Raw genomic sequence first — 12,666 nt, forward strand, 5'->3', positions numbered from 1 at the left:
CGCTCGGCCCTCGGATTCTCATTGGCTGAAGTCGAGGGAGGTTTGTGTCTTATTATCCTCCGGGTCCCTCGCTGGCTAGTAGGAGAGACTGGTGCTTGCCCCGCCCGGTGGACTAACTCGCTTAATTTTAAATAAAAAGTCGAGGACACGGCGGTCGTTTTCCCGAAGACATGGGCCCTCCCATGGGCCATTTGCTCCCTGGAGGCCCTCGCGTCTTGCTGAGCCCGGGGAGTTAGGATGACGCGAGCGGTGAGGGAGCCCGGAACGATTCCTTCGCGGAACAATTGAGGCGAGGCCTTTGGGAGTACTTTGTGGGACGGACCCTGGCGGGCCCTGCCAGACGCACAGGGATGGCGGCGGAGGCGGCCGATTTGGGGCTGGGGGCCGCCGTCCCCGTGGAGCTGAGGCGGGAGCGACGCATGGTGTGCGTGGAGTACCCGGGAGTGGTGCGTGATGTGGCTAAGATGCTGCCGACTCTGGGCGGCGAGGAAGGCGTCTCCCGGGTAAGGGGCTGGGAATCTCGGTGTTGGAATAAGAGCTCGGAGTCGCAAAGAAAACGAGCACTCAAAGGATTTCTCAGCAAGGGAAATTTAGCAAATTTACTTACGCAGAAGGGTGCTGCTCGCTCTTCTGGCCGCTGCAAGAGAGCCAACAGAACAAAGAAGGGAAGGATTTTTGTTTTTGTTTTTGTTTTTTTGTTGGTTTTTCAGGCGGAGTTTCGCTCTTGTTTCCCAGGCTGGTGTGCGGTGGTGCGATTTTGGCTCACTGCAACCTCCGCCTCCAGGGTTCAAGCGATTCTCCTGCCTCAGCCTCCAGAGTAGCTGGGATTACAGGCGCATGCCACCACGCCCGGCTAAATTTGTATTTTTTAGTAGAGAGGGGGTTTCACCATGTTGGTCAGGCTTGTTGGAAATAAATTTTGGGTGCCGCAAAGAAGAATCAGCACTCTGGCAAACAGTTTTCTCAGCAAGGCAAATTTCCTTCTATAGAAGGGTGCATCTTGCGGATGGAGCAATGGCGAGAGCACACCGACAAGGAAGGGGAAGGGGTTCCTATCTCTTACACAGCTAGTCTCTACTGCTGTGTCTTTCCCATATTGGCTAGGGTTGGACCGCACAGTCTAAGCTAATTCCGATTGGTTATTTCAAAGAGGGCAGGGGCACAGGCCTGAGTGGCGGGGTGAGTAGTTTTGGTGGGAAGGATGGTTACAGAGCAGGTGACTCAGGATGACTAAGGACAGAGCAGGTGATAGAAGCTAGGAAGGGGTTGTTTACTGAAACTAGGGGCAAGGAGGCGTAAAGAACGAGGGGTTAAACTTTAAAATGGAGAACAAAGAACAGGGAAGCTGAACATACTGACATATTGGTTCTTTGAAATGGAACTCATAACTCATTGTATTTATTAATTTTCCCCCTCTTGAATTTAAAGGAAGGTAAAAGGCTAAAATCTTTGAAGTGGAATTTACTGTGTCCTATAGGCTGGTCTTGAACTCCTGAGCTCAGGTGATCCACCCGTCTTGGCCTCCCAAAGTGCTGGGATTATAGGCGTGAGCCACCGTGCCCAGCCTGGAATGGGTTTTTATCCCTAAGGCAGTCAGTCCCTGTTTTTGTGTCCTGTCCCTGCTGGTTGGAGTTGGACCACACAATCTAAGCTAATCTCAATTGGCTATTTTAAATAGAACAGGGGTGTGGGTTACAGTGACGGGACGAGCGATTTCGGTGGGAAGACTAGTTTCGGCGGGAAGGGCAGTTAAACAGAGCGGGTAACTAAGGGCAAGGAGGCACAAAGAACAAGGAAGTTAGACTTTGAAGATGGAGAACAAAGAACAAGGGAGTTGAACAAGCTGAACCTTTGAAGAAGAATTCACTGTATAGAACAGTTTCCCCCTCTTGATTTTCATACTTCTTTCTCTTCAAACCTTTTTAGCATGTCTCGACTTTGCTGTTCTTGGTTTTCTAAAAGTAGAAGTTTGTCTGAATAAGGCGGGGGGAAATTGGAGGTTAGTGAGAGCTGTCTCCGTAAGTCTTTGTATTAACCCTCAGGCACAGGGTATGATACAACATCCTACGAGAATAAACACGTTTATTACAATGGCAAGGGACATAAGGATCGAGGACATAAGTCCTTTCCACCTGCCGAACAATCTTCCCGTTAGATCAGTGAAGAGATCGTTTATCCCAGAATTTTAAGCTAGCTCATTGGATAAAGCAGTAAGACCTTGCAGTGCCTTTGTTATGGTTCCGTCAGGAACAGTATTATTTGGGATAAAAGTACAACATTGGGTTCCAAGCATGACACAAACGCCACCCCTCTCTGCTAGTATCATTTCTAATGCTATTCTATTTTCCCAAGCCATTTGACTGGTGGGTCCTAGTTGTTCAGCTGTTCCTTTGATAGCATTCCTAGTATAATTAACAAATTGTTGCTGGTTGTAATAGATGTAACTTATCCAATCTACATTTTTATTTATAGTTAACCACCAGAAAAACATAGACTCAAATCCCGCAGCTATTTGATTACAAGCCTTAAATTCATCAGGTACCCCTCGGGGAACTCCAGTGGCATCTGTATAAACACGAGGGTCAAAGGAACCACGGGGGGCATCTCTTACTCTACGGTGTCTTGTTTTTACTTCTTCTGGTTGATGAAATGCCAGAGTGAAAGGGATGGCCAATTGGATCAGAGCACAGGTACCGCTCCAGTTACTTGGCAGAGTATCCAGTTACGGTCCACCACAATGCCACCATACATCTGCTCAGGATAAATGACTAGGGGCAGATTCATGGGTAAGCTCTTGGAAGGGCTTAAGCTCACTGCATCCTGTTAGGTCCCCAAGGAATGCCAAATTTTCCCTGTCACAAGAGACACAAAGTAAAATTGGCACTGGGAGACAGAAGCTGGATAGCCCTCAGGGGCTGACCCGCAGGGTGTTGAACCTCAGGGAACAGCAGAGAGAGAGCTCGGCACGATTTATCACCCCAGGCTGTGGGGTCCTGGAAAAGAGCTACCGTACAGCCCATGCCCACTCGTCTGGAGGACCATCCAAGTGGAAAGGGGACAGTCTGGGCTTCTGGTCTACTGTGTGCACAAGTGTAACAATCACTTTTGTTTAAAGTGCGGACAGAATATTTAATCCATTCCATCCAGGCGTTTGCATCTCAGTACCCTGTTTCAATTGCTAGAGTTTGCTTTAGGTCTCTTACTTCTACAGCTGCTACTTTGGCTGGGTCGTTGTGGAGACCGGAGGGGAACACTGGGCCTGATATGTTTGGGGAGAGCGTTGGGTCCCATACGTTCCCTGGACTCTGGGTCTGGGTTTCTTCATTGTTTTTAACCGCCGATGGTCCAGTCAACCTTAGAGAGGGTTCCTATGGGATCCCGTCCTGTAACATCTGCTCCTAACCCGTACCGTCCGAATACAGAGGGTTCTTGGGCCATTGTTTGGGGATTATCTATAATTAGCAATAAGGGGTTACACCGCAGTGGCTTACAATTTGGTGGAGTGGAGCGATGGATAAGTTAGAGTTTTTGTTTGAGTTTCCGCAACTTATTTAAAGGAGGGGGGTTGGCTGTCCGCCTCCCATATTGACTGGTCCACCAAACATTTGCCCAGTCACCACAGGGGCCCTTTAAGGCTCCATACTTATACTTGTTTGACTGTCTGCGATATGGACATGGATACTTAACTACATCGGATAGCTGCCTTTGAGCTTGTTCGTATCTGCACGGGGTAAGAACAAGTGTCGAACTGAAGGGTCAAGGGATGGTTAGCCTGAGTCACATTGATGACAAGATGACCTTATGTTGGAAAGAAAAGGAAAAATAGACAAGTGATTATTAAGCCCTTTTTAGGGTTAGTTTGGTAGGGGTGGGTCCCGGGGTGACAGCCCATTTTTCCCTGTCTGTGGACATTACTCCTTTCACCTGGCGTGTAGTGTGCCCATCCCTTTTCAGCCGTTCGAATCGCTGTTTCAGTAGTTAAGAGTACCAGATAAGGCCCTTCCCAAGCTGGTTCAAGTTTTCCCTCCTTCCAGCTTTTGATGAGAACGTGATCCCCAGGCTGATGCTGGTGTGCTGGAAACTCTAGAGCTGGCGTCTGTGCTCAGAGGCCTTCAGTCCTGAGGGAAGAAAAAGTGGAGGAGAGACCAAGTTTATAGTTTTTAAGAAACTGATCTTTGTTTCAAACGTAGCAATGTCAGCAATGGAGTGTAGATAAGGCAACCCATATAGCATTTCATAAGGGGATAAGCCAACATCTTTCCAAGGGGCAGTTCGGATTTTTCACAAGGCAATGGGAAGGCATTTAGTCCATGGCAACCGAGTCTCTAAGACTAATTTGGTTAAGTGACTCTTCAGAGTTTGGTTCATTCTCTCCACTCTTCCTGATGAAGGTGGGTGCCAGGGAGTGTGGTATTCCCCTGCTATGTCTAGTACTTGGGCTAGTTTCTTGACGGCATGTGCAGTGAAATGAGTCCCATTATCTGAATCAATATTTTGTATTAATCTGTTAAACCTGGGTATAATATTCTCAATCAATGCTTTAATTACATTATTAGCAGTTGCACTTGAAAAGGGAATAGGTTCCCTCCAGTGCGTAAGGTGATCTACTATCACTAATAAGTACTTTAGGCAACCGACTGGGGGCATTTCGGTGTAATCAATTTGGACACTTTGGGACGGTCTTAACCCTGGACTCCTTTCCCCCAGGGAGTGGTTTTCTTAGGGTCTGCTTATTAGTCTTTTTGCATATTAGACAACTATCTGTAACTTGTCTTTCCAGAGTATAAATTCCTATACATCCCTAAACCCTGAGAACTGCATCACACATGGCTTGGGGTCCCCAGTGAATTCCTTGATGCAGCTGAGATAAGACTTCTCTCTTGAGGGGTTTGGATAACATTTCTCTTTGGTCTGGTAACACCCATTTCCCTTCAGAATTCTCTTTGGCCCCTATTTTTATTAATTTCCCTTTTTCAGTGGAAGAGAAGATGGGAACTGCGGTCGGGGGAGGAAGACAAGGGGTTAGGTGAAAAGTGAGCGTTTTGAGGAAATGGCAGCTTGTTTGGCTATTTGATCTGCAAGGTTATTACCTCGACTTTCACAAGAAAGACCTTTCTGGTGTCCTGGGACATGGACAGTAGCTATTTCTTCTGGCAGCTGGAGGTTACCTAACACTTGGGTGATTAATTCCTTGTGGGCAAGGTCTTGGCCTTTGCTATTAATGAGACCTCGTTCGGTCCAAATTTTTCCAAAGGTATGAGCTAGCCCGAAGGCGTACTTGGAATCAGAATAAATAGTTCCTTCTTGGTTTTGCAAGTGCTTTAAGGCTTGATTCATTGCAAACAATTCACATGTTTGGGCAGACCAATGACTGGGCAGCCTTCCTGACCCTCCTTCTGCAAGGGCTTCCCCATAGACTACTGAATATCCATTATGTCTTTTTCCTTCAGTTACCTGGGAAGAGCCATCTATAAATAAGTGCTGCCCTGTTTGAAAGGGGTCTCCCTTACATCGGGCCTGAATCTAAACACTCATGCTCAGGTCCTTTTAGATTTGGATTCCCTGTTAGGAGACCTGCTGGGTTAAGTGAATTATCAGTGGTTAGTGTTAAATCATCTCTCTAATAGGATAGCTTCATACTTTAAAATTTTTGAGTCAGTGAGCCATCTCCCTGCTTTCTGGTTTAAGATAGTTCTAACTTGATGAGGCGTGCTCACAACTAAATCTCCCCCAAAGGTCAGCTTTCTGCTTTCTTCAGTTAACAAAGCCGTAGCCGCAATGGATTGAATACATTCAAGCCATCCACAGGTTACTGGATCTAAAACTTTCGACAGGAACACCACAGGTTGCCAGTGACCCCCGTGTTCTTGAGTAAGTACCCCTAAAGCTACCCCCTTCTTTACATTAATGAAAAGATGAGATGGCTTTTCTAGGGAAGGCAGGGCTAGGACGGGGCAGTTATGAGCATATGTTTTAGTTCTTCAACCTGGTGGATTTCTTCAGAGGTCCACAGAAGAGGGTCAGGCTTTTCTTGGGCAAGCTTTAGGTATAAAGATTTTGTTTTTAGGGCATATGAGTCAATCCGTAAGCGGCAATATCCAACCAATCCTAGGAATGTTACGAGTTCCTGCTTAGTTTTAGGCAAAGTTAAGAAGGACACGATCCCTTCGACGTGTTCAGTTCCTGTCCTTCGTATCAAGTGTCCTAGGTATTTAACTTCTGGCTCTACAGATTGAAGCTTTCCCTTTGAAACCCCATAACCCTTTTCCTTGCAAATGGTTAAGGAGGTGGACGGAGAGGGCAGCTATCCGTTCTGTAGCTTCACCAGATACCAGCGGGTCATCCACGTATTGGAGCAGGCATGTGTTTTGGGGTAGAAATTTGTTCTAGAACTTGTTCTAGAATCTGACCGAAGAGGTTAGAGGAGTCTGTGAAGTCTTGGGGGAGAACTGTCCGTCGATACTGTTGCTTCCGTCCGGAATGGGGATCTTTCCATTCGCAAGCAAAAATGTCTCGGCTGTCCTCAGACAAGGGGCATGCCCAAAAAGCATCTTAAATATATTACTGTAAACCACTGATGGTCGTATGGAATTTTGCTGAGGAGGGTGTAAGGATTAGGGACAACAGGGTGAGTAGTCTGGAATATCTGGCTGATGGCCCAGAGGCCTTGCACTAGTCAGTATGACCCATCTGACTTTCTTACAGGCAGTATTGGGATAAGGGGACACACCGGGTTCAAGGAGCCCGTCCCTAATGAGACTCTCAATGATAGGTTTTAGGCCTATTCTGCCTTCTAAGGGGATGGGATATTGCTTCCTTCTTACTATTTCCCCCCGGGGTTTTTAACTTTATATGTATGGTGGGGGGGTGGGACTTGGAGTCTTCCCCAATTCCCTTCCCTTGACCAGAGATCGGGATGAATGTATTTTTCTTCATGGTGGTAAGTAGGTTTAATGAGGTGAGGAATCCTTCTGGGCTAACATGTAAACCTATACCTAACTTTAAGTCTCTTCCTAACGGGTTAGTTCCTGCTTCAGGGATTAGCAGAAATTTAACGTGGGCTGTTCGATTTTTATGTTTGAACTCTGCGTCTTCTAAGATTTTTGCTCTAAATCCTTCTCCCTTTACCCCTGAAACAAAAAGCTCTTCTGAGGAGCAGCTGACGCTAGACGGAAGGGAACAAACAGAAGAGCGAGCAGCACCCTTCTGCAGAAGTAAACTTAGCACATTTAGTTCTGCAGAAGAAAGGTGCTGTGCTGCTCGCTCTTCTGGCCACCAGAGCACACGGAACAAAGGAGGAAAGGTTCCTGTGTCTTGTCCCACTGGCTGGAGTTGGACCGCACAATCTAAGCTGATCTCGATTGGCTATTTCAAATAGAACAGGGATGTGGGTTACAGTGGCTGGATGAGCGGTTTCGCCAGGAAGAATAGTTTCGGCGGGAAGGGCAGTTACAGAGCGGGTAACTAAGGGCAAGGAGGCGCAAAGAACAAGGAAGTTAGACTTTGAAGATGGAGAACAAAGAAGAAGGGAGTTGAACAAGCTGAACCTTTGAGGAGGAACTCACTCAACCTGGATATCTAATATCCGGGACACTGAGAGAGGGACGGAGTTGCTGGACGGCGGCTGAAGGGGAGAGTCTACCCGGGCGTGTGGTTTCCTTGGCAACGGAGAGTGTGGTGGACTCTGGGTGCCCAATGGGCAGGGCTTTGGTATCTGTAATTGCCAGGAACAGCCTTTTTCTCCCCAGGGGACAGAGGGGAAGGGACTGTGGGGGAGACCCCTAGGAGCTTTTTTTTTTTTTTTTTTGAGACGGAGTCTGGCTCCGTCGCCCAGGCTGGAGTGCAGTGGCGCGATCTCGGCTCACTGTAACCTCCGCCTCCCGGGTTCAAGCAGTTCTCCTGCCTCAGCCTCCTGAGTAGCTGGGATTATAGACACCCACCACCACGCCCGGCTAATTTTTGTTTTTTTTTTTTTAGTAGAGTTGGGGTTTCACCATGTTGGCCAGGCTGGTCTCGAACTCCTGACCTCAGGTGATCCACCCAGCTCGGCCTCCCAAAGTGCTGGGATTACAGGTGTGAGCCACTGCGCCCGGCTCCTAGGGGCTTTTTTTTCATTCCATCCACAAATGTGAGCCACAGCCTGGGCACTGGTGCCAGGAATGCAACTCTGCAGCCCCACAGGGTGTGTTGCACTGCCGTATCCTCATTACCCGGGGTAGAAAACTGAGGCACGGGGAGATGAAGCTCTGTTGACTTACCTGAGAGGGATAGACTGTTATGTTGTTAGGATTAGAGGTAGTGATGGTTGACATCTTATTCTCTGCCACGTACGGCTCTAGGTGCCTTACTTAGAGTCCGTCCTCTTTAGAACCCTACCAGGTAGGAACTGTCAGAGTCTGTATTTTACGGGGGAAGGAACTTGTTCGAGGTCACACAGCAAGTGGGGCAGCTGGAGGATGCTATGTGTAAGTTCTTTACATGTACCAGAACTTGAAGTGTCTCTTTAGAGAAGTTTTCCCTGATTGCCCTAACTAAAGTGGCCACTGGCAATTATCTGCCTCCTCATCCTGTTAATTCCAATCTGAAAATGTTTTAAAATGTTTATTCTGACAAAGGCTTATACATATAAAACATTTAAGAAAAAAGGAAAAAAAAATTTACTGTCTCTCGTCCTCTTGACCCTAAGACTGTCAACTCCATGAGAGTGGGGACTTCTTTTGTTCACTTCTGTACTTCTTTATTTTTATTTTTTTATTTTTTGAGACAGGGTTTCATTCTGTCACCAAGGCTGGAGTGCAGTAGAGCAATTATGGCTCACTGCAACCTCAACCTCCTAGGCTCGGGTGATCTTCTCACCTCACCCTGCCAGGTAGCTGGGACTATAGGCATGCACCACCACGCCCAGCTAGTTTTTGGTATTTTTTGTAGAGACGTGGTCTCCCTAAGTTGTCCAGGATGGTCTCGAACTCCTGGGCTCAAGCGATCCGCCTGCCTTGGCTTCCCAAAGGGCTGGAATACATGCATATGAATCTGCCGGGATCTTGCTAAATGAGCCACCATGCCTGGCCCAGTTCTCTGTTCCTAACATCCATAACAGTGCCTAGTTCTGTAAATACTTGTCAAATGCACGATTGAGTCTTCACAGCAATCTAGTGAGTTAGATGCCATTTTTATTCACATTTTTCAGATAAAGACACAAGAAAGTTTAGGTCAGACATCTACATGGTACAAGGGGATTTGAACTCATGCTTTGCTCTAGAGTCTGAACTTTTACCTGCTGCTTCCTCATCCTTTATGAATATGGAAAAGCCCTGAATTCATTAAGCACGGGCTGCCAGTAGAGCCCCAGTTAATCACGTTTTCTTCTTTTATATTATTCTCTTGATTTATGGCTTTGACAGAATCCTTACTCTCGCTAACCTCAGGGATTATTACAGTGTGAGCACTTTGGGAAGGGACCTTCCTTACTCATTCACTCTTCTCATGTTTCTTGAGCACCTCCCCTGTGCCAGGCCTACGTTTGGGTTCATTCCCGCCCCATCGGGACTCAGAGGTGTGTGTTTTATGAGGAGGAGATTCCTGAGAACCAAGTCTTCTTCATTCTCTCCCGAGATAGTTCCTGATCACTTCCTAAGGGACAGACCCTGTCCTGGGTGTTGGGAACCAGCTCACTAGCACGTAGGTGACCTTGTCCCAGTTCACGTTGTTGGTGCTTTCATATGCACACATCCAGTGCTCGTTGTGACCCAGCATTGGGCAAGTATTCATTCATATGTACGTGGCACATATTGAATGTCTACCATGAGTTAGGCACCAGGAGCTGTGCTTTATAGATATTTAATCATAACAGTCGTATGACATAGATGCTATTCTTGGGGTTTTTAAGGAGAGGGACCAAAAAGAGTGTTGGTATTCAGTTTCATGTGCTTGGAAAGCTAGAGGTAACAGCAAGTCAGAGCCCAAATGGTTGTTACTGATTGATTTAATCTCATTTGGACCTCGAAACATTTGCATATGAGACTAAATACCAAGACCCTTTATGGTGGGTAGTTGTTAGAGTAGGTAACCCTAGACAAGCCACTCCACCCCGCACCAAGCCTGAGTTACCTCCAAGATTGTGGGTGGCAAGCCACCCAGGTGCTGAGGCAAGAGACCGAGGGCATGAGCTGTTCCAGTATAATAAAATACATAAAACAACAAGTTATACTAGATCTAGATCATAGACATGATTATATATGAATATCATTAATCATTAGTTTGTAGGAATTACTCTTTATTCCAATATTATAATAATCCTCGCTCTATAATCATAACCTAAGAAAAACCAGGTCATACAGAGATAGGAGCTGAGGGGACATGGTGAGAAGTGACCAGAAGACAAGAGTGCGAGCCTTCTGTTATGCCCAGACTGGGCCACCAGAGGGCTCCTTGGTCTAGCAGTAACGCCAGTGTCTGGGAAGACGCCTCTTGCCAAGCGGACCATGGTCTAGCGGTAGCATCAGTGTCAAGGAAAAACACCCGCTACTTAGCAGACCTGCAAAGGGAGTCTCCCTTTCCCTGGGGGAGTTTGGAGAAGACTCTACTCCTCCACCTCTTGTGGAGGGCCTGACATCAGTCAGACCTGCCCGCAGTTATCCGGGGGACTGTCTCCCTGTGATGCTGTGCTTCAGTGGTCACGCTCCTAGTCCACCTTCATGTTCCGTCCTGTACGCCTGGCTCTGCCTTTTAGATAGCAGTAGTAAATTAGTGAAAGTACTAAAAGTCTCTGATATGCAGAAGTAATGGCATAAGCTGTCTCTCTCTCTCCCTCTCTGTCTGCCTCGGCTGCCAGGCAGGTAAGGGCCCCCTGTCCAGTGGACACATAACCCACGTGACCTTACCTATCATTGGAGATGACTCACACTCTTTACCCTGCCCCTTTTGCTTTGTATCCAGTAAATAACAGTGCAGCCAGACATTTGGGGCCACTACCGGTCCCCGCATTTTGGTGGTAGTGGTCCCCCGGGCCCAGCTGTCTTTTCTTTTATGTCTTTGTCTTGTGTCTTTATTTCTGCAGTCTCGTCTCCACACACAGGGAGAAAAACCCACCGACCCTGTGGGGCTGGTCCCTACAAAGATAAGGGTGATAGTATCTCCCCTCAAGTGTTGCCAGAAGGACCAACTAATGCCCCACACCGAGCAGGCACTTGATGGATGATGGCATTTACTTAGAAGGAAGGAGACGATTCTCATTTTTTCCACCAGATAAAAACTAAGATACATGGGTTTAAAAAATGGGCCTTTTGGGAATTAAGGGCCCAGAATGAAACATGAGCCTCCTGGCCTTTCCTGGATCACCGTCAGGCTTTTATTGAGAGAGGAGCAGCTCCCCACTGGCTGCTTGGCTTGTCATTGCTTCACTCTGTCTCCTTTGGCCTTGCCACAGATCTACGCAGACCCCACCAAGAGGCTGGAGCTGTACTTCCGGCCCAAGGACCCATACTGCCACCCAGTGTGCGCCAACCGCTTCAGTACCAGCAGCCTGCTGCTCCGCATCAGGAAGAGAACGAGGCGGCAGAAAGGGGTGCTGGGCACTGAGGCCCACTCCGAGGTCACATTTGACATGGAGATCCTTGGCATCATCTCCACCATTTACAAATTTCAGGGTAACTGAAATCTGCTCTTGCAATGTCTGGTTATTTCAGGGCTGGCCATCCTAGCTGCCTGCAGGAGCTGTGTGGGTCATCTGCACCAGTGGAGGGGGCCAGGATATGCCCAGGGGCTGTGGGGACACAGCAGGGCACAGGCCCCATCCAGGAGGCAGCCTTTCTTCCCTCCAGCCAACAGTTCCCCAGAGACTGCAGGTTCATTGCTGCCCAATCTTCAGCATTCTTAAGCTAGAAATCTCCTAATTTTTAATGAAACCATTGTGTGGGACCAAATAAAACTGGTCAGTAGACCTCCAGTCTTTCCCCCACCACAGTGTTTTGAACCTTCTCTTGTCTCGGCTGCTGTTGGTCTTGCCCTCCTAGCTCCCGAAGCCCCTTGGGACCTCCTCCTCCTCTGAACTCTCAGCAGGTTGAACGTCCCTCGTGGAGCCCTCAATCAGGTTTCCCACCTACCAGGAACCCCAGTGAGGAAGCAATAAAGCAAGGGAGGGAGACGGGTGAGAAAGACAGACTCTGGCATTGTGCCTGCCTGAGCCCTGCCAGTTTCTTTGGGAGGTGGCTTGGCTTCCCTGAGCCTCAGTGTCCTTGTCTGTGCAGTGCGGGCTACAGAGCCTGCGTTCCTTAGGCCCTCGTGAAGATTCCGGGAGGCAATGCTTGTGAATGGGCCAGCCTCTGGCCCACAGGAGGTGCCTGGCATATTACTAACAAGGCTTAGAGATGGCTAAGTTACATCTGCAGTTCTAGGCAGAATCTGAAGAGTATAAAGATTGAGAAGGGCAAAGAGGACTAGAAAGAAAAGAGGGGAAGAAGAAAGTGAAATGAAGGAGAAGCAGGACCTGGGGTCCCATGGGTTGGGCATTTTTAATGGCAGTCATTCTGGTGGGTCATGGCATTCACCAAAGAGGGCTGTTCTTTTGGGACAAGGTTTCCCAAGTGATTCATAAAACATAACACCTCATATTTTTCATCGAATTGAACCAGCATCTTGCTGCTCTGTGTGTGTCTCTGGACTGGCAGC

General features: G+C 47.8%; 1 protein-coding gene across 7 annotated transcripts in view, besides 2 other annotated features; it reads left to right on the forward strand.

Moving 5' to 3' along the window:
- Window positions 1-652: an enhancer, noted in NCBI's record as "H3K27ac hESC enhancer chr9:135906049-135906700 (GRCh37/hg19 assembly coordinates)". NCBI's record gives its function as "activates a minimal SCP1, AML or CMV promoter by ChIP-STARR-seq in primed H9 embryonic stem cells {active_cell/tissue: H9 hESC(primed)}" and the evidence as "EXISTENCE:reporter gene assay evidence [ECO:0000049][PMID:30033119]".
- The window catches only part of GTF3C5 (general transcription factor IIIC subunit 5), a 27,796-nt gene continuing 15,176 nt past the window's right edge, over window positions 47-12,666 (forward strand). For 3 of the 7 annotated variants that reach the window (XM_017015315.2, XM_017015316.2, XM_047424081.1), the window contains exons 1-2: window positions 47-249; window positions 11,426-11,645. In XM_017015315.2, the coding sequence (XP_016870804.1) occupies window positions 238-249; window positions 11,426-11,645 (232 nt within the window). In that variant the 5' untranslated portion in view covers window positions 47-237. Of the gene's footprint in view, window positions 250-335; window positions 504-11,425; window positions 11,646-12,666 lie in introns of those variants that run through there. The other 4 variants (NM_001122823.2, NM_012087.4, XM_047424080.1 and 1 more) reach the window with 2 other exon arrangements.
- Window positions 97-356: an enhancer, noted in NCBI's record as "active region_29227". NCBI's record gives its function as "activates an Ori minimal core promoter by ATAC-STARR-seq in GM12878 lymphoblastoid cells {active_cell/tissue: GM12878}" and the evidence as "EXISTENCE:reporter gene assay evidence [ECO:0000049][PMID:35858748]".

The sequence above is a fragment of the Homo sapiens genome, chromosome 9 (assembly GCF_000001405.40).
Source record: "Homo sapiens chromosome 9, GRCh38.p14 Primary Assembly".
NCBI classification, from domain to species: Eukaryota; Metazoa; Chordata; class Mammalia; order Primates; family Hominidae; genus Homo; species Homo sapiens.